The 18,951-nt window shown below is 44.4% G+C and overlaps 1 protein-coding gene and 1 long non-coding RNA gene across 4 annotated transcripts, besides 11 other annotated features; one reads left to right on the top strand and one right to left on the bottom strand.

The window, feature by feature from the left end:
• Positions 1-318: 318 nt before the first annotated feature.
• SYF2 (SYF2 pre-mRNA splicing factor) lies at positions 319-10,545 on the bottom strand. 2 transcript variants are annotated; one of them, NM_015484.5, is made up of 7 exons: positions 10,487-10,545; positions 10,147-10,254; positions 7,041-7,166; positions 6,161-6,278; positions 5,485-5,575; positions 3,045-3,143; positions 319-1,474 (listed from the first exon to the last, which is right to left on the bottom strand). In NM_015484.5, exons 1-7 carry the CDS (start codon positions 10,508-10,510, stop codon positions 1,309-1,311), a joined length of 732 nt encoding a protein of 243 aa, NP_056299.1. In that variant the 5' UTR covers positions 10,511-10,545; the 3' UTR covers positions 319-1,308. The 2 variants fall into 2 exon arrangements, with proteins under 2 accessions (NP_056299.1, NP_997053.1); NM_207170.4 differs by lacking the exon at positions 7,041-7,166.
• Positions 5,572-6,771: an enhancer, noted in NCBI's record as "CDK7 strongly-dependent group 2 enhancer chr1:25554020-25555219 (GRCh37/hg19 assembly coordinates)". NCBI's record gives its function as "activates an origin of replication core promoter dependent on BRD2, BRD4, P300/CBP, MED14 and CDK7 cofactors, with strong dependence on CDK7, by STARR-seq in HCT116 cells {active_cell/tissue: HCT116}" and the evidence as "EXISTENCE:reporter gene assay evidence [ECO:0000049][PMID:35650434]".
• Positions 10,363-10,512: an enhancer, noted in NCBI's record as "active region_452". NCBI's record gives its function as "activates an Ori minimal core promoter by ATAC-STARR-seq in GM12878 lymphoblastoid cells {active_cell/tissue: GM12878}" and the evidence as "EXISTENCE:reporter gene assay evidence [ECO:0000049][PMID:35858748]".
• LOC124903881 (uncharacterized) lies at positions 10,632-18,316 on the top strand. 2 transcript variants are annotated; one of them, XR_007065555.1, is made up of 2 exons: positions 10,632-10,722; positions 18,047-18,316. It is a non-coding gene; the product is annotated as an uncharacterized LOC124903881 (long non-coding RNA). The 2 variants fall into 2 exon arrangements; XR_007065554.1 differs by lacking the exon at positions 18,047-18,316 and adding an exon at positions 11,620-12,818.
• Positions 10,655-11,568: an enhancer, noted in NCBI's record as "NANOG-H3K27ac-H3K4me1 hESC enhancer chr1:25559103-25560016 (GRCh37/hg19 assembly coordinates)". NCBI's record gives its function as "activates a minimal SCP1, AML or CMV promoter by ChIP-STARR-seq in primed H9 embryonic stem cells {active_cell/tissue: H9 hESC(primed)}" and the evidence as "EXISTENCE:reporter gene assay evidence [ECO:0000049][PMID:30033119]".
• Positions 10,753-11,002: an enhancer, noted in NCBI's record as "active region_453". NCBI's record gives its function as "activates an Ori minimal core promoter by ATAC-STARR-seq in GM12878 lymphoblastoid cells {active_cell/tissue: GM12878}" and the evidence as "EXISTENCE:reporter gene assay evidence [ECO:0000049][PMID:35858748]".
• Positions 16,836-17,622: an enhancer, noted in NCBI's record as "H3K27ac-H3K4me1 hESC enhancer chr1:25565284-25566070 (GRCh37/hg19 assembly coordinates)". NCBI's record gives its function as "activates a minimal SCP1, AML or CMV promoter by ChIP-STARR-seq in primed H9 embryonic stem cells {active_cell/tissue: H9 hESC(primed)}" and the evidence as "EXISTENCE:reporter gene assay evidence [ECO:0000049][PMID:30033119]".
• Positions 17,623-18,408: an enhancer, noted in NCBI's record as "H3K27ac-H3K4me1 hESC enhancer chr1:25566071-25566856 (GRCh37/hg19 assembly coordinates)". NCBI's record gives its function as "activates a minimal SCP1, AML or CMV promoter by ChIP-STARR-seq in primed H9 embryonic stem cells {active_cell/tissue: H9 hESC(primed)}" and the evidence as "EXISTENCE:reporter gene assay evidence [ECO:0000049][PMID:30033119]".
• Positions 17,623-18,419: a biological region, named in NCBI's record as "H3K27ac-H3K4me1 hESC enhancer GRCh37_chr1:25566071-25566856".
• Positions 17,680-17,729: a silencer, noted in NCBI's record as "silent region_452". NCBI's record gives its function as "represses an Ori minimal core promoter by ATAC-STARR-seq in GM12878 lymphoblastoid cells {active_cell/tissue: GM12878}" and the evidence as "EXISTENCE:reporter gene assay evidence [ECO:0000049][PMID:35858748]".
• Positions 17,950-18,079: an enhancer, noted in NCBI's record as "active region_454". NCBI's record gives its function as "activates an Ori minimal core promoter by ATAC-STARR-seq in GM12878 lymphoblastoid cells {active_cell/tissue: GM12878}" and the evidence as "EXISTENCE:reporter gene assay evidence [ECO:0000049][PMID:35858748]".
• Positions 18,100-18,149: an enhancer, noted in NCBI's record as "active region_455". NCBI's record gives its function as "activates an Ori minimal core promoter by ATAC-STARR-seq in GM12878 lymphoblastoid cells {active_cell/tissue: GM12878}" and the evidence as "EXISTENCE:reporter gene assay evidence [ECO:0000049][PMID:35858748]".
• Positions 18,220-18,419: an enhancer, noted in NCBI's record as "active region_456". NCBI's record gives its function as "activates an Ori minimal core promoter by ATAC-STARR-seq in GM12878 lymphoblastoid cells {active_cell/tissue: GM12878}" and the evidence as "EXISTENCE:reporter gene assay evidence [ECO:0000049][PMID:35858748]".

An 18,951-nucleotide genomic window follows, 5' to 3' on the forward strand; every position in this document is an offset into this window, starting at 1 on the left:
TGTTACCCAGTCTGGAGTATAGTGGCGTGATCTCGGCTTAGTGCAACCTCTGCCTCCCAGGTTCAAGCAATTCTCCTGCCTCAGCCTCCCAAAGTGCAGGGATTACAGGCACCCACCACCATGCCCAGCTAATTTTTGTATTTTTAGTAGAGATGGGACTTCACCATGTTGATCAGACTGGTCTCAAACTCCTGATCTTAAGTGATCCACCTGACTCAGCCTCGCAAAGTGCTGGGATTACAGGCGTTGAGCCACCACACCCGGCCAATATTTGAAATTTTCTGAGCTTCAGATTTCTTTGAATTTAAAATATCCCAATTAGATATTTAGCATTTAATTCAACATAGAGAAAAAATAACAACCTTTCCCTCTGGAGTTTTATAAAAATAAATCTATTGCAGTGATAATAGTATTGTGGTCATTTAAGTCTTTATCTTTCAGAGATACATACTAAAATAATTATAGATGAAATTATATATCTAGTATATGCGTCAAAATAAGAGTCATGAAGAAAGTAAATGGAAATAAAGATGAAGCAGGACTGGCCATGAGTTAATGATTGTTGAACAGGGTACTGGGTATATGGGACTCACCAGGGGTATTGGGTGTATGGAATTTCCCATAATAAAATATTCTTTCAGTGTTTGTAGAATGGAAGCATGTATGTATATAAACAAATGTATATATACAAATGTTTGTTTTAAATGATAGACTAAAAATGTTAGAAATTCTAATCCCAAGCATTTATTGCTTTTTAAAAAGGGAACTGTACATGATCAGATCATGGAAGGATAGCTCCACTCCTCCCCGACCTTGGTCACAGGCCGCCATGAGGAGGGACTGCTCCAGTCCTCCGGTGGCCACTGCCATCTTCCTCATCACTGTCCTTAGCTTTGGAGTACACAACTCCAAGTGGCCCGAGTCTAGACTCTATCAAATTCCACACTGATAGCAACAATGACTGCATCTGATGTGTGCTGCTGGCAATCTTAAGCCCAAAATGCTTCAAAGATTAAACAGCCATATACATTTAAAATACATAGAAAAATAATATAATTAGAATGTATACAAAGTAGATTACAAAACAACTTCACTACAAGAAATACATCTTATATCCAAGCACAAAAATGTGGAAATATACATGAAAGGATATACGTTTAAGAAACCACATTTTTATTTCTAAATGCTGAGTGAGAAGGCATGGACTACTAAATTCTGGATTACTGATAAAATTTCAAAAAGAACTTGATTTTGCTAGCAGAAATTTTTACCCCATTCTCAAGCTTCTATAAACAGTTCTTGAAGGGATTAGACAGCTGTTCCTCTTTCCAAATTCTGTTTAATTTCAGCTGTGTATTTCCCATAGAATCTTTCAGCTTTCTTGTTGAATTTGGCATTCCTTTCATTAATGTAGTCGATATCTGCATCATCATTATAAGGACGTCTCCGGCTATATTTGTCTCGTTTTTCAATCCTGGGGAAAGAAGAAAATTTACAAAATTCAAAATTGCCTTCTCTTTTGATCTTAATAAAACACAACCAAACAGGAATATAATCACGTTTAGAATAGCACATGTTGTGAGGGCTAGAGGAAGCCAGGAGAGTTTTCATCAAGTTAAAGTTGAAACTGAATTAATGGCACAACTCAGAATATGAACTGTGAAATCCAGTAAATACAAATTCATCTTCAGAATGCTAGAGCGATGACTCATTGTTGGGAACTTGACTGTACTGAAGAAGATAACTATTGGCTGGGCATGGCGGCTGTAATCCCATGCCTGTAATCCCACTACTTTTGGAGGACAAGGCCTCCCAAAAGGTCCTCTGGGAGGATCACTTGAGCCCAGGAGTTCCAGACCAGGGCCTGGACAACATAGGAAGACTCCATCACTATAAAAAAAATTTTTTTGAATACATTTTCTAAAAAAGAAGATAACTATAACAATATTAAATAGGCCAGGCGCAGTGGCTCATGCCTGTAACCCCAGCACTTTGGGAGGCCAAGGCAGGTAGATCACCTGAGGCCAGGAGTTTGAGACCAGCCTGGTCAACATGACGAAACCCCGTCTCTACTAAAAATACAAAAATTAGCCAGGAGTGGTGGTACACGCCTGTGGTCCCATTTACTCAGGAGGCTGAGGCAAGAGAATCGCTTGAAACTGGCAGGTGGAGGTTGTGGTGAGCCAAGATCGTGACACTGCGCTCCAGCCTGGGCAATAGAGTGAGACTCCGTCTCAAAAAAAAAAAATTATATTAAATAATAACCACAGCTAATACTGAGCACATAATATGTGCCAGACACTTTTTTTTTTTCCTGAGACAGGGTCTCGCTCTGTCGCCCAAGCTGGAGTGCAGTGATGCAATCACAGTTCACTGCACCCTCCACTTCTTGGACTCAAGTGATCCTCCTGACTGAGTCTCCCAAGTAGCTAGGACTACAGGCACGTACCACCATGCCCAGCTAATTCCTGTATATTTTTTGTAGAGAAAGGGTTTTGCCATGTTGCCCAGGCTGTTCTCAAAGTCCTGGGCTCAAGCAATCCTTCTGCCTCAGCCTCCCAAAGTGCTAGGATTATAGGCAGGAGCCACCACGCCCAGCCCAGACACTATTCTTAATACTTTTCATGTATTAACTCCTAAAATATATTTTCATTCTGCTCTACCTAATAGTCGCCTCTATCAGTATTAAGAAACACAAACCTAAGCGAGGAACATTTACTACAACATTCTTGCTTCTTCAAATCAAACAGGGGAGTGGTTAAAGTAAAATCCTTAAAGAAGGATCATTTTTTTTAGACCTTTCCCCTTCAATATTAACAATTCAGTTTCATCAACATTCTTCATCTCCATTCCAAATCAGATATATTCAACCCACACTTGCTATCCATCCCCAAGCCACTATAGACAGGTCAAAAATTAGCAAGTATAACTGTACAATTTCTATCTTTTGAATTCATTCTAAGCACGTCAGATATAGGTGCATATTCTAAGTGCATTTTGTCATGAAGTATTTACAACGTCAAGCTGCTCTACTGAATACTTACTGTTTTTCCAGATCTATGACCATCCTGTCAATTTCCTCTGTGGAAGGCACATGTGTTCCATGAAGAAGACTATTGGATGTTGGGAAAAACTCTTCTCCACTGAAAAGGCAGCAAAATGAACTTACAGTAACACTATAAATGCTCCATTTTCAAATTTCAAACTAAAGTACCATACATGATAAGAAAGTATACACATACATTTACTGTGAGATCCTACTTTAATTTTTTTTTAAAAAAACATACAGGCTGGGTGCAGTGGCTCACATCTGTAATCCCAGCACTTTGGGAGGCCAAGGCAGGCGGATCGTTTGAGGTCAGGAGTTCAAGACCAGCCTGGCCAACATGGCAAAACCCAGTAGAGACTGAAAATATAAAAATTAGCCGGGCGTGGTGACACACACCTGTAGTCCCAGCTACTTGGGAGGCTGAGGCAGGAGAAGCACTTGAACCCGGGAGGTGGAGGCTGCAGCGAGCCAAGATCGCCCCACTGTGCTCCAGCTTGGGCGACAAAGTAAGACTCCGTCTCAAAAAAAAAAATTTTTTTTAATTAAAAGAATTAAAATAGGACCATGTGGAGGCCAGGCGCAGTGGCTCACGCCTGTAATCCCAGCACTTTGGGAGGCTGAGGTGGGCGGATCACAAGGTCAGGAGTTTGAGACCAGCCTGGCCAACATGGTGATACCCCATCTCTACTAAAAATACAAAAATTAGCTGGGCGTGGTGGCAGATGCCTGTAATCCCAGCTACTTGGGAGGCTGAGGCAGGAGAATTGCTTGAACCCGGGAGGCGGAGGTTGCAGTGAGCCGAGATCACGCCACTGCACTCTAGCCCAGGCGACAGTGCAAGACTCTGTCTCAAAAAAAAAAAAATAGGGCCATGTGCAGTGGCTCACACCAATAATCCCAGCACTTTGGGAGGCCAAGGTGGGCACATCACCTGAGGTCAGGAGTTCAAGACCAGCCTGGCCAACATGGTGAAACCCCATCTCTACTAAAAATACAAAAAAATTAGCCAGGCGTGGTGGCGGGCACCTGTAGTCCCAGCTACTTGGCAGAAGAATCACTTGAACCCAGGAGGCGGAGGCTGCAGTGAGTCAAGATTGCACCACTGCACTCCAGCCTGGGCGACAGAGCGAGATTCTATCTCAAAAAAAAAATAAAAATAAAAATAAAAAATAAAAAATTACAGAATTGAAAGGAACCTAAGACATCATCTACGCCAACACCTTCACTGTACAGATCAAAGAGCCAACAGGCAGAGAGGCTCCAGGACTTATCAGAGGTCACAAAGTGCTAGGAACAGAGCTGGGATTAGAGCTCCATCCTGAGGTTATTTCCTTTTCCACTAAAACAAGCTGCCAAACTACAGCAGCCCACCACCTGTTTATGAAAAGAGGCTTCATTTATGAATTCTCTGCAGCTGCTTTTGCACTGCAGCAGCACAGCTGAATAGCTGTGACAGAGACTATATGGCCCACAAAGCTAAAATATTTACTATCTGGTCCTTCACAGAAAAAGTTCACCAACCCCAGCACTAAAGCATTCTGCCTCCTAAAATAATATCTAAGTAACTACGACAATCAGGGTGTTAACCAATCAACAACCAGTCTTAGAATGCCCAGTTAAGAACAAAACAAAAAACATGTGATTAATTTAATAGCTGTGAAGTAAGCAATAAACAGTGCTGTCAAAACAGAGACTAGGCCTGGCACAGTGGCTCACACCTGTAATCTCAACCATGTGGGAGGCCAAGGATGGAGGATCACTTGAGGCCAGGAGTTTGAGACAGCCTGAGCAACACAGTGAGACCCCGTCTCCACAAAAAAATTAATTAGCCAGGAATCGTGGCACATGTCTGTAATCCTAGCTACTGGGGAGGCTGATGTGGGAGGATCCCTTGAGGCCACAAGTTTGAGGTTACAGTGAGTTATGACAGTGTCAATGCACTCCAGCTTAAGCAACAGAGCGAGACACCGTCTCTTAAAAAAAAAAAAAGGAAGGGCCGGGCGCAGTAGCTCACGCCTGTAATCCCAGCACTTTGGGAGGCTGAGGTGGACGGATCACTTGAGGTCAGGAGTTCAAGACCAGCCTGGCCAACGTGGTGAAACCCCATCTCAGCTAAAACTACAAAAATTAGTTGGGCGTGGTGGCGGGCGCCTGTAATCCCAGCTACTCAGGAGGCTGAGGCAGAAGAATTGCTTGAACCCAGGTGGCGGAGGTTGCAGTGAGCTGAGACCGCACCATTCACTGCACTCCAGCCTGGGTGAGAAAGCAAGACTCCATCTCAAAGGAAAAAAATATCCAGAAAAAACAGAGACCATCCTTAGACAACTATTAATAACCCATACCTTAGCATTAAAGCATGTTTCTATTTATGTACATGTATACACACACACACACACAAATACATCCACATCACCTCAGGTTGAAAAAGGACTTACTGTTTTTCTCTCAGTCTCTCATATGTTTCCATGTCAGGTTTGATCTGCTTGGTCAACCGATGATACTGGCGTAACTGGGCAGCAGCATAATCTAAAAATATAAAATGAGAATCAGCGATAATATATTTCCTTGTTTGGACCTTCCTATTGAGAGAAAAATCTAAATTATCACAGGTGAGTATCTTTTATCCAAAACGCTTGGAATCGGAAGTGTTTCTGATTTTTTTCAGATTTTGGAATATCTTTATTATACTTAAATTCAAAATCTGAAATGCTCCAATCAGCATTTCCTTTGAGCATCATAGCACCATGTTGGCATTCAAACAGTTTTGGATTTTGCAACATTTGGGATTTCAGATTTTCATACTAGGGATACTCAATCTGTGTGAAGTAATATATGCCCATAACACTATTCTAAGCATAGCTTCTATCCTGAAGATGCTGACAAACAGACTTTGATAAATTTTATCATCAAGTATTTAAAAACCTGGCTAACTGAAGTACAGCCTTTTTTTTTAACTTCTCTCCTAAGAGACATATTTGTACTTTTCTTGGTCTTAAGCCTCATCAAGAATATCCCACGAAGCACAAGAGGCACATCCTTTCTTGAAACCAGAAACAATGAAGGAAATGACTAACAGCCCAGTCAATAAGGTTCAATAAAGGTCAATCTGACCTGAAAATCCCAGATCAGGGTTTTTCCTCTTCTTTTTCCTCTCCCATCTTTCTGCATCTTCTGCACTGATCTCCAGCAACTTCACTTTCTCATAGTCTTCTCCTCTTGCCGCACATTCCTAAAAAGAAGAAAAAAGCTGACACCTACAATTATGATACATGCAATAATTTGATCTACTTTACATCAAGAAAGATCCAATAAATATCAACCAATACTTTAATAGTATTTTTTTAGTTGGAGTTTCACTCACTCTGTCACGCAGGCTGGAGTGCAGTGGCGCGATCTCAGCTCACTGCAACCTCCACCTCCCAGGTTCAAGGGATTCTCATCTCTTAGCCTCCCAAGTAGCTGGGACTACAGGCACATGCCACCATGCCCGGCTAATTTTTGTATTTTTAGTAGAGATGGGGTTTCACCATGTTGGCCATGCTGGTCTCAAATTCCTGACCTCAAATGATCTGCCAGCCTCGGCCTCCCAAAAGTGCTGGGATTACAGGCATGAGCCACTGCACCCGGCCACTTTAATAGCATTTAAAGGAAATTTGGGAATATACTATGGTATATAAGTGAGCACATGATACTTATTGAGTGTTTATCAGGTGTCAGACCTTGTTTTAAATGTTTTACATGCATTAACTCACTTAATTCATAATGAACTCAAATAATTATTGTTACAGTCCCTGTTTTATTGATGAGAAAACAGAGGTACAGAGAAGTTAAATAAACTCACCCAACGTGTTGCAGTTGGTACTGAGCAGAGCCAGAATTTCAATTCTGGCAGCTTGGCCTAAGAGCCAGTGTATACAACCACCATGTTGTAGTGTCTTGATACAACAGAATGATTGACTAAATCACTTATGAAGATAGAATAGTTCCTAACCTTTTTCTTTTCCTCTTCCTTTAGTTCCCACTCCAAACGAGCTTTTTTGGCTTCCCAATTTGCAGGTAATTTTAGTCTTTTATCTTCTTCCACAACTTCCTGGTGATTTAATTTACGAGCTTCATTCTAAAACCGTAACACAAGAAGTCTGTCAGCTAAAACATGAAAATAAATCCAGATACACCTTGCCTTCTTTGAGGAGGGTCAGGCAGGACATATTAATAAGCTGACCCCATTTTATCCTAAAAGCAATAGAGAGCCATCACAGGATTTTAAGCCAGGGAATAGCCTAATAGGGTCTACGTTTTTATGCAGTCAAGAAAAATGTGTTGAGTTGCACTGGTTTGCTGTTCCAGAGCCCTGGAGGTTAAAATCAGCTTTGCCTCTATTGAGTTGTGTGGTCCCTTTTTATTGGATCAGAACAAGGTTTTGCAGTATTGGAGACCATACTATAGTGGCACTTAAGTAGACTTTATTTGGCATTACTATTAAATTGGCCAGGTGCAGTGGATCACGCTTGTAATCCTAGCACTTTGGGAGGCTGAGGCAGGTGGATCACCTGAGGTCAGAAGTTCAAGACCAGGCTGGCCAACATGGTGAAACCCCGTCTCTACTAAAAATACAAAAATTAGCGAGGCATGGTGGTGCACACCTGTAATCCTAGCTACTCGGGAGGCTGAGGCAGGAGATTCACTTGAACCCAGGAGGCAGAGGTTGCAGTCAGCTGAGATTGCACTACTGCACTACAGCCTGGGTGACAGAGCGAGACTCCATCTCAAAAAAAAAAAAAAAAATTACGTCACATGATGTGAAAGACACTCTTTCTTTTTTTTTTTTGAGACAGAGTCTCACTCTGTCACCCAAGCTGGAGTACAGTGGAGCCATCTCAGCTCATTTCAACTTTCGCCTCTGGGGTTCAAACAATTCTCATGCCTCAGCCTCCCGAGTAGCTGGGGTTACAAGCGTGTGCCACAATGCCTGGCTTATTTTTTTGTATTTTTGGTAGAAACGTGGTTTTGCAGTTTGGCCAGGCTGGTCTCAAACTCCTGGCCTCAAGTGATCTGCCCGCCTGGACCTCCCAAAGTGCTGGGATTACAGGCATGTGCCACCACACCAGGCCTCAATTATCTTTTAATCCTAATTCAAGAAAAAAGCCTCAATTTGGGTTAGAGGATTTAAAACCTATCTTAATGCCTCTAATGCTTTCCAAGTTCCCCTCCTTTTAAATATTTTCACAGTTTGCATTGACAAATGAAAAATGAAAGGAATTTTCCATTTGAAGTATCATTGAAGAGTCTTTTTTTTTTTTTGGAGCTGGGGTAGCAGGGAGAAGAGTCTATTTTTAAATAAACTTAATTGCATAAAGCAAAATGAGTGTATCGTCTTAAGGAAAACTTGAGTTAGACATTCCTTAGGTCATAAGCTGGTGGCAGTTTGTCCAGGAAGCCCCGCCTCCTAATTTCCAGACATGTGTTCCTTACACAATCACTCTAAATATTTAAGCATGTCTTTTTAATTGTTTATTAGATTAACTTTCCCTCGGCAAAGAGAGATACTCCTCCCAACTACCATCCCTAGTATATTCTTGGCCCTGGAAAAGCCCTGCAATTAAAGACGCCAAGAACATACCTACGGTCAACAAAGTTGAGTCTGTTGCACAGAAGAGAGCAAACCACGGGGAACCGTGGGCATTTGAGTGACAGGGTGTTAGGAAGGGCTTGTTCCAGGATTTGGGTTTGTATCAGGTGACTGAGGGGAGGGTTAAGGATGTGGATTGGGTACTGTCAGAAAGCAGGGGCTTTCTACAATTAGGTATCTTAGATTTTTTTTTTTTTTTTTTTTGAGATGGAGTCTCGCTCTGTCGCCCAGGCTGGAGTGCAGTGGTGTGATCTCGACTCACTGTAAGCTCCGACTCTCGGGCTCATGCCATTCTCCTGCCTCAGCCTCCCGTGTAGCCCGCCAGCACGCCCGGCTAATTTTTTCTATTTTTAGTAGAGACGGGGTTTCACCGTGTTAGCCAGGATGGTCTTGATCTCCTGACCTTGTGATCCGCCCTCCTCGGCCTCCCAAAGTGCTGGGATTACAGGCGTGAGCCACCGCACCCGGCCCAGTATCTTACATTTTTATATAGGAGGCAGAAGTAACGGAGTGAGACTAATGCTGTATTTGTTAATAACAGTCACTGGTGTTAGTCAGAAGAAAGAAATATGTGGTCATTCTTGTAATTTGAAAAGTCTTCTTTGTTTTGTCTCACTACAACAGTCAGAGTGATTTTGGGATTTTGTGAAACCATGGCCTAGCTGTCAGGTCACTCCATGGTGAAACAGGGGCTGCTTTTCTCTTTCTCTGCTCCAACTGCAGCAAGCTATTTGCTGGACTCTTATCCCTAATACAAATTCTCTTTCTTTGAATTTGTTCCCTTTGCTTGGATATCTCTTTCTCTAACTCCTTTAGTTGTCTGGCTTTCAAACAGTAGTTTAGGTGTCACCTACTACATGAGGCACCCCCTGGAGACCCACAAACTGCATTCCTCTCTCCTCCTCTGCACCTCCAGGGCACTTAAACATCAGATTCCCTATCAACTGGCTGAACTACCACACTGTAGACTTTCAAAAGTTTGCCATTTTTTTTATTTTCTTTTTATTCTTTTCCCCCAGAAGTCCCAAAAACAGATGATTATTTTCTTTTCACTCAAACAGATTCTGACAGAAGATTATTATTTTTTAAAGTGAACCAGGTCTCTTACTGACACTAGACAAGTTTCTTCCTGTCTCTAGCTCTACATATTTCCCTAGGTAAAATGAAGAATTTGTTGGAATCACGGAGCAGGGAGGTTGTTAGTAATGGAGACTCCCAAACCTAACCCAGATACATTAAATTGGATGTGGGTGGGAGAGGGGCTGGAGTGAACAGTTATATTTTCAAATGTTCTCAGAATGATCCCAATGTGCTGCCAGGGTTGAGTACCACCGAACAGAGCTTTCCTCTCAGATGATCCTGCTCTGTTGGTCTGTCAGACGCAGTGGTGTGGCTTCCTCGTCCCCTCTACAAAAGCGCACAGGCTTGGCCAGATGACGGATCTAAGCCGGCCTCCAAGACTACTCACCCGCATCAGGTGCAGCTCCCGGAATTTGCGCAGTCTCTGTTCGCGCTTCTGAGCGGCCAGCTCCGCCGCCGCAGCGAGGGACCCCTCCTCCGCGCTGTCCACCAGCACCTGCGACAAGGAGAACTGGCTTCAGGCAGAGCCGGCTCAGCTTCTCCCAGGACTGCCCAGGCCGAGTCCCCGCCGGTCCCCACAGGCTGGGCCTAGGGCCTCCACCGCCGACTTGACCCCACAGTGTCTGAGCCTCCCTGAAGCGAAACTAGACTTCGCCTCCACCTCTCTCCAGGCCGCTCCCCGGAACCCTCACCAACAAAACCCCCGGTGTACGGTGGGTGGAACTCACCTCGGATGCAGCTATAGCCGCCATCACAACCTTTCTCTCTTCCCACTTCCGGCAACAAGATAGAGCACTTCCGTCAACCTTCAGACAAACGGGCCGATACGTACGAATGGGCTACCATAAGCCCCGCCCCTTCCGGGAGGTCTCCGGAAGTTGGGACCCTTTTAGCTATGAAATATTTTGGATTGCGTAGGGTCTTGCGCAGCCGCGAAAAGTAGCGTGGGCCAGGACAGCGGGAGGTAAGTCGCCAAGAAAAGGGTTGGGAAGAGCTCAGAATCGGACGGCTAGGAAGAAATGACCAAAAGGAGCCTGATAGCCCCCTATTCTGCACGCTGTTCCTGGAAACCGCCTTTGCAAAGACAGTGAGAGAAATCTAACATGGCTCACTCCATCTTGCTTCTAGCCTCGCAGGCCGGCTGTCTTCGCTCATTCCTGGGCATAAACCAAGCTAACCATGGGAGAATTTATAGTTTAACTTTTAAGCAAGGATGATCATAGTCCCTTCCTTAAACAGGGCCCCTCCTTGTTTGGGGGCTGAAACTGCCTTTATAAAACTAATGAAAGACCGGGAGGTTAGGATTATGAGGGGAGAATTCTGCTAAAATGTAGTAAACGATAACCAGCCATTGTTTCGGAGGACATCGGATGTGTAACTTCCCCAATTATTCCTGTAGATAACGTTATCGTAGCACCTAAGATTGGTCTTTTGAGGCATTTTTCAGACTTTCGCATTCTGGCAACTAACTGACCCCACCCAGACTCGTGACCCATGACCCAACCGCTTCTTCTGTCCCACTCCTCCCCCAAGAGGCGGACTCAGCTGTTGAGGAGTGTAGTCCACACCCCTGTGATTGCATCTCCAACCAATCAGCAGCATCCATTCCCTAGTGCCCTGCCCACACCAAACTATGAAATACCCTAACCTCTGAGCTGACCCTTCAGGAAAACTTACTTGAGTGGTAACCCTTCTTCCCTGAGGCCAGCCTCAGGTTAATACAACTGTATACTGCAGTAGCACTTTTCAGTGAATTGGTTTTGTCTGCAGTAAGCAGGAAAAACCTGCAGTGCCATTCATTCCCATGAGTGGAAAGTTCTTTCCATTTAGAGCTTAAGGTGTTGTCACTTTCTCCAAGAAGCAGGTCTTGCCCTTGGCCTGGTGTGGTGGTTCATGGCTGCAATCCCAGCACATTGCGGGGCGGAGGCGGGAGGATTGCTTGAGCCCAGGAGTTCAAGACCAGCCTGGACAACAAAGTAAGAATCAGTCTCTAAATTAAAAAATAAAAGTAATTTTTTTTTGTTTTTTTGTTTTGAGACAGAGTCTTGCACTATCACCCAGGCTGGAGTGCAGTGGCACCGATCTCGGCTTACTGCAACGTCCGGCTCCCGGGTTCAGACGATTCTCCTGCCTCAGCTTCCCGAGTAGCTGGGATTACGGGTGCCTGCCACCATGCCCAGCTAATTTTTGTATTTTTAGTAGAGATAGGGTTTCACCATGTTGGCCAGGCTGGTCTCGAACTCCTGACCTCATGATCTGCCCACCTCAGCCTCCCAAAGTGCCGGGATTACAGGCATGAGCCACTGTGCCTGGCCATAAAAATAAATTTTTAAAAATAGAAGCAGGTCTTCCCTGACTACCCTGTCTCACTTTTAGTACTGTCATTTGACACTATTTTAATTCTCTCCAATTGCATAAGTTTTATTTTTGTCTGTTGATTTTCTATTTTTCTCATCAGCGTTATTACTGGAGAACAGCAGAGTCCACCCATCTTGTTTACTCTTACATGCTCAGCAGAGAGGCAATGCCAGAATTACTAACAGTGCTAAAGTTACTAAGATAAGTAAGGTGCTGGATATAAGAGGAATATATGAAAATTATTTTTTTCTGCACTAACAACTACTAGTTAGATACAGAAATGAAAAAGTAGGCCAGGTGCAGTGGCTCATGCCTGTAATCTCAGTACTTTGGGAGGCCGAGGCGGGCAGATCACGAGGTCAGGAGATCAAGACCATCCTGGCTAACACGGTGAAACCCCATCTCTACTAAAAATACAAAAAATTAGCCGGGCGTGGTGGCGAGCGCCTGTAGTCCCAGCTACTCAGGAGGCTGAGGCAGGAGAATGGCGGGAATCCGGCAGGCAGAGCTTGCAGTGAGCCGAGATTGCGCCACTGCACTCCAGCCTGGGCAACAGAGCGAGACTCTGTCTCAAAAAACCAAAAAAAAAAAGAAAAGTAATCCCTAAAATGAAAAGATACCTAGGTACAAAATTTAAATGGTAACATAAAAATAAAAGATAATTTGAAGTAAATTAAATCTGAATAAATGGTGGATAACCTATTTTCTGGTTGGAAGACTTAATATTATAAAAACAATATCACAAAGGAGTATCGCAAATGAGTTTATAAATGTCATGTTATTCCCATCAGAACCTCAGTGGGTCATTGTTTTTGTTTTTTGGAACTGGAAAATAATGTGGCAAAAATCTTAGAAGTTCAATAACACATTGTGTTGATGAGACCGAAGAAAAATGAATCCTACACATATTGCTGGTAGGACTAAAAATTGATTGAACCCCTAGGGAAGACAATTTGGCAATATCTGTAAAAATTAAGGCATTTACTCTTTGACTCAGCTATCATAATTCTGGGAATTTATGTTACAGATACAATTACACATTGAAAGGAAAATAAATCTTGGGGCCCCAAAATCACTAAGCCAAAGGGAAAAGTCAAGCTGGGAACTGCTTAGGGCAAACCTATCTCCCATTCTATACCTGAAAAAGCCACTAAGATAAAAAAGCTACCTACCTTCCTCACAGGGAATGTCCTTGTGGACAAAGGACAGAGAGAGGCAGGCGGATCACCTGAGGTCAGGAATTCAAGACCAGCCTGGCCTACACGGTGAAACCCCGTCTCTACTAAAAATACAAAAATTAGCCGGGCATGGTGGTGCGCAGCTGTATTCCCAGCTACTAAGGAGGCTGAGGTGGGAGAACTGCTAGAACCTGGGAGGCAGAGGTTGCAGTGAGCCAAGATCGCTCCACTGCACTCCAGCCTGGGCAACAAAGGGAGACTCCATCTCAAAAAAAAAAAGCCATCATCTGTTTTGGGGGTGTAATAAGATATATGTACTTCTGAACCATGTAAGTATTTCGGCCGGGCGCCTTGGCTCACACATGTAATCCCAGCACTTTGTAAGGCCGAGGCAGGCAGATCACCTGAGGTCAGGAGTTCGAGGCCAGCCTGGTCAACATGGCAAAACCCCGTCTCTACAAAAAATAAAAAAATAAAAAAATTTAGCCTGGCGTGGTGGCGGGCACCTGTAATTCCAGCTACTCTGGAGGCTGAGGCAGGAGAATTGCTTGAACCGGGGAGGTGGAGGTTGCAGTAAGCCGAGATCACGCCATTGCACTCCAGCCTGGGCAACAAGAGTGAAACTCCGTCTCAAAAAATAAATAAAAAATAAGTGTGTCAATTCTAAAATTAAAAAAAATTTAAAAGTTTGCATGGAAAAACTAAGAATAGTCAACAGTATTTCTGAATAAAAAATAGAATCGCGGCTGGGCGCGGTGGTTCACACCTGTAATCCCAGCACTTTGGGAGGCCAAGGCGGGTGGATCACGAGGTCAGGAGATCAAGACTATCCTGGCTAACATGGTGAAACCTCGTCTCTACTAAAAAATTAGCTGGGCATGGTGGCGGGCGCCTGTAGTCCCAGCTACTCAGGAGGCTGAGGCAGGAGAATGGCGTGAACCCGGGAGGCGGAGCTTGCAGTGAGCCCAGATTGTGCCACTGCACTCCTGGGAGACACAGATTCCGTCTCAAAAAAAAAAAAAAAAAAACCACACAATTACATGTGGTTTTGTGCCTCTTGGATTTCAGTTATTGGGGAAGAGTAGTGCTTACATCCTTCTTATTTTACTGTTATTAAGAATCCTGGCTGGCACGGTGGCTCAAGCCTGTAATCCCAGCACTTTGGGAGGCCAAGGCAGGAGAATCCTTTGAGCGCAGGAGTCCAAGACCAGCCCTGGCAACATAGCGAGACCTCATCTCTACGCATGGTAGCCTGCCCCCGTAGTCCCAGCTACTCGAGAGGCTGAGGTGAGAGGATTGCTTGAGCCTGGGAGGTCAAGGCTGCAGTGAGCCCTGATCACACCACTGCACTTCAGCCTGGGTGACAGAGCGAGACCCTGTCTTGAAAAAAAAAAAAAAAAATCCTATTCCTGCCAGTAAAATTGGGCTCTATATTACCAATTTGTTTATATTGCAAATTAAAATCTGCAAGTCTGGACTTAAAAAAATGGAAATGTTTGTAATTAACTAAAGTTTCTGGAAGTGATAAGCAGTATAGAAAGGAAAGATGTGTGGTAAAAATTGCTCAACTGATTTTGTAAGGATTTATTAAGAGTATTCACAGGATTTTCAACATTGCTTTTCTGTGCAATATGATAATTTGTGTGATTTTTAAAAACTGGGCTGGCTACAGTGGCTCACGCCTGTAATCCCAGCACTTTGGGAGGCCGAGGTGGGTGATTTGCCTGAGCTCAGGAGTTTCACACCAGCCTGGTCAACACAGTGAAACCCCGTCTCTACTAAAAATACAAAAAATTAGCCAGGCGTGACTGCGTGCGCCTGTAGTCCCAGCTACTCGGGAGGGTGAGGCAGGAGAATCACTTGAATCCAGAAGGCGGAGGTTGCAGTGAGCTCAGATGGCGCCACTGCACTCCAGCCTGGGCGACACAGCAAGAGTCCGGCTCAAAATAAAACAAACAAACAAAAAAAAAACTGTTATGAACTGTATCATTTCTCTATTGTGGCATAACAAATCATCCCAAAACTTGGTACCTTAGCACAAATATTATTTTATTATTATCTCTCATAGGTCTGAGAATTGGTGTGGTTCTCACACAGGGTCTCTCATGCAGTTGCAGTCAGATTAGGGGCTGGGGCTGGAATCATTGTAAAGGTTTCCTCACTCAGAAGTCTTGTGGTTGATGTTGGCTGTAGGCCTGAACGCCCACACCTGGCCTCTCCATTGGCCTGGACTTCCTCAAAGCATGGGGGCTGGGTTTTAAGAACAAGTATCCCAAGAGAACTAGGTGGAATCTGTTTCACTTTTTATGACTTAGTCTCAGAATTCACAGTGTCACTCCCTCCATAGTCACAGATTCAAGGATTAGGGATACAGACTCTACTTCTAGATAGAAGGAGTGCCAATGTTACATTGTAAGACTAGCACATAGAATGGAAGATCTTCCAGCATCTAGAAAAATTCAATTAGACACATCACTTGTTCTGTTCTTTGTTAATAAATATGTATAAATATAATTTGAACAGACTTCTTATAAGACTCCAATTTTTTAAATTGTTGCCATGTCCTGTTGAAAAAGAATTTGTGCTACATATTTTCTGTCTGCCCTGTTAGAACTACTCTCCATTGGTCTCCATGTTCTGTGTCCCTGAGTGCTAGCCTGAATGAACTGCATCAGTAAACTCTCTTGCCCTCTACCTTCTTGGGTCCTGCCAATGCACAGTACCTACATAAGATCAGAGGTTTGGAAGAAATGAGGTCAAGGTATTTATTCCCTGGCTGGATTACGGATTTGGTATATTTCCGTAGTCACCGCTTATGTCTGAAGACTATCTTCTATCCCTCCTGTCTCAGCCTCCCGAGTAGCTGGGACTACAGGCACCTGCCAACATGCCCGGCTCATTTTTGTATTTTTAGTAGAGACAGTTTCACCTTGTTGATCAGGCTGGTCTCAAACACCTGACCTCAGGTGATCCACCCGCCTCGGTCTCCTAAAGTGTTGAGATTACAGGCGTGAGCCACCGCGCCCGGCCTAACCCTATACTTTCTGGATTCCCATTGCTGCTCCCTTCTTTTGCCTCTTTTGGGGTAGTAGTAGTGAGGGATCCCCCTGTTGATAGCGCTGGTATGCTTCACTCTGGTTGGTTTTTCTTACCCAGTCTACAACTTTGTAAACAGTCCCTTTATTAAGCTCTCCTTAATTACTTAGCATATGTAAGCCTAGTAACATAACTTTCAAAACCTGTAATTCTGATAAGTGATCTTACTGAAAATAATTTTATAATTGACTTTATTTTTAAAAGACAGGGTCTCATTATGTTATTTAGGCTGGTTTTGAAATCCCAGCCTCAAGTGATCCTCCATCCTCAGACTCTTCCTCTGAGTAGTTGGGATTACAGGCATGAGCCACCATGCCTGGTTTATAATTGACATTTTTGTATTCTTAAAGAATGTAAATACCTGTAATATTGCTCTATCAAATCATCTATAACATAGAGAAAATTCCTGTTACTCTGCTATATTTGCTTTTTTTTTTTTTTTTTTTTTTTTTTTTGAGACAAGGTCTTGCTCTGTTGGCTAGGCTGGAGGGCAGTGGCACAATCTTGGCTCACTGCAACCTCTGCCTCCTAGAGGATACTCCCATCTCAGCCTCCCGAGTAGCTGCGACTACAGGCACCTGCAACTATGTCCGGCTAATACTTCAATTTTGAGGGGCTGGCAGGGTCAGAGGTAGGGGACGGGGTCTTGCTCTGTTGCCCAGGCTGGTCTTGAACTCCTGGGCTCAGGTAATCCTCCCACCTCAGCCTCCCAAAGTGCTGGGATTACAGGAGTAAGCCACAGTGCCTGGCCAAATATTTGCTATTTTAATAGAGGTTAAGAAATGTCTCATTTAAATTAACTACATTAGGCCGGGCTCAGTGGCTTATGCCTGTAATCCCAGCACTTTGTAAGGCCTAGGTGGGCGGATCACTTGAGGTCAGGAATTCCAGGCCAGCCTGACCAACATGGTGAAACCCCGTCTCTACTAAAAATACAAAATTTAGCCGGGCGTGGTGGCGGGCGCCTGTAATTCTAGCTGCTCGGGAGGCTGAGACAGGAGAATCACTTGAACCCAAGCGGCAGAGGTTGCCGTGAGCTGAGATCGCGCCACTGCACTCCAACCTGGGCGATAGAGCGAGATCCGTTCAAAATTTGGGGTTCAAAAAAACCCCAAATTAACTACATTAAACAAGCAACTCCACACTTATGTAATTACATGTATGTAAGTGCTGCAAAGAAGAAAATGTAAAAATGTATGAAGAGCTGTAACAGAGGAAACTGACTTTTAAAGTGGTGAGCTGGCTTCCCTAAAGAAAGGCATTTAAGGAAATCTGAGGAAGGAGAGGGATAGTCTGCCTTCAGAGTTTTGTTTTTGAGATAGGTCTCACTGTCACCCAGGCTGAGAGGCTGAGATCATAGCTCACTTCGTCCTCGCGTCTCCAGCACAGGTCCGGGTTTCTCCACCCAATGCGCCTGCGCACAGGCCTAGCCCAGTCGGACGCAGCCCAGGACTGCCAGGGGTGGGGATTGCCTGGGTCCCCCAGGAAGGGCCGGGTTACGTCCGGAAAAGTGAGGCCCGGGGTTCCAGTTAATTGTTACCGGAAGTGGAGGGAAGCGTTGCCAGGGGAGGGCGGAGACTGTGGCTGACAAGATGGGTGGCAGGCCCTTCCCTGGGGGTATCGAGGTAGGGACGTTTGTGGCTACGTCTGTCCTAGAGGAGGAGACGATGCCAGGGGAGAGGGAGACGCAGACACTGGGACTGGGTCGCCAGCAGAGGGCCTCGGAAGCCAAGCCACCCCGTCTGAAGACGCTTCTCCTTACGGAGCCCAGAAGCGCGAACGGAGACTGCGCAGATCCCGTGCGCTGCGCCGGAAACGGATGCATAGTCTCGGACACCAGCTCAGACCTGCCGCCTGGCCAGGTCCGTGCGCGTTTGTAGTTTGTAAAGAAATGTTCTAATGTGTATATTTCCACGTTTATCTGTATATTATTCACTTGGGTTGTCTTCTGTTTGTGTTTAATGTGAAGCCTAGAGTTGACCTTGGGAGCTTCAGAGGTAGGGTGCTAATTTTTCTTGCAAGCTATGTAGGTAGTGAAAGGAAGGTGACAATGACTACAGGAAATTCACCCTAGTCCCTCTTCTTCCCCAGAAGTGGTCACAATTACAGGTGCTTTCCTGTTCCACGCTCTATTGCATAGCCCAGGTGCATTTATGGGAACAAAACCATGGAGATAGACACTGATCTTTAATAACATTCTGTAAAATGCCATCCTTCAAAAACCAAATATCCTTGTAAGAAAGTTAAAACATTTGGTGAAACTATTATTTTAGGCCAGGCACAGTGGCTCACGCCTGTAATGCCTACACTTTGGGGGCGCCGAAGCAGGAGGACTGCTTGAAGACCAGCCTAGGGTAACAGAAATCCCACTCATCTTTACCCCCAAAAAATTAGCCAGGTGCGATGGCATAAGCCTGTATGGTAGAGGCTGTGGCAGGATTCCCTGAGCCCTGGAGTTCAAGGTTGCAGCAAGCTGTGACTGTGCACTACAGCCTGGGTGATGGAGCAAGAAACCCCTTCTCTAAAAAATAAAGTGTCTATAAAAATCAGTCTTACTTAGA

The sequence above is a fragment of the Homo sapiens genome, chromosome 1 (genome assembly GCF_000001405.40).
Source record: "Homo sapiens chromosome 1, GRCh38.p14 Primary Assembly".
In the NCBI taxonomy this organism is placed as follows: Eukaryota; Metazoa; Chordata; class Mammalia; order Primates; family Hominidae; genus Homo; species Homo sapiens.

Excerpts from the sequence above, each read along its gene's own strand:
- SYF2 (NM_015484.5), bottom strand. The coding sequence starts at position 10,510 with ATGGCGGCTATAGCTGCATCCGAG. Across the intron at positions 6,279-7,040 it reads AGGAAGAGGAAAAGAAAAAG|GAATGTGCGGCAAGAGGAGA; the intron begins GTTAGGAACTAT and ends TCTTCTTTTTAG. Across the intron at positions 3,144-5,484 it reads GAGAGACTGAGAGAAAAACA|TGGAGAAGAGTTTTTCCCAA; the intron begins GTAAGTCCTTTT and ends CTGCCTTTTCAG.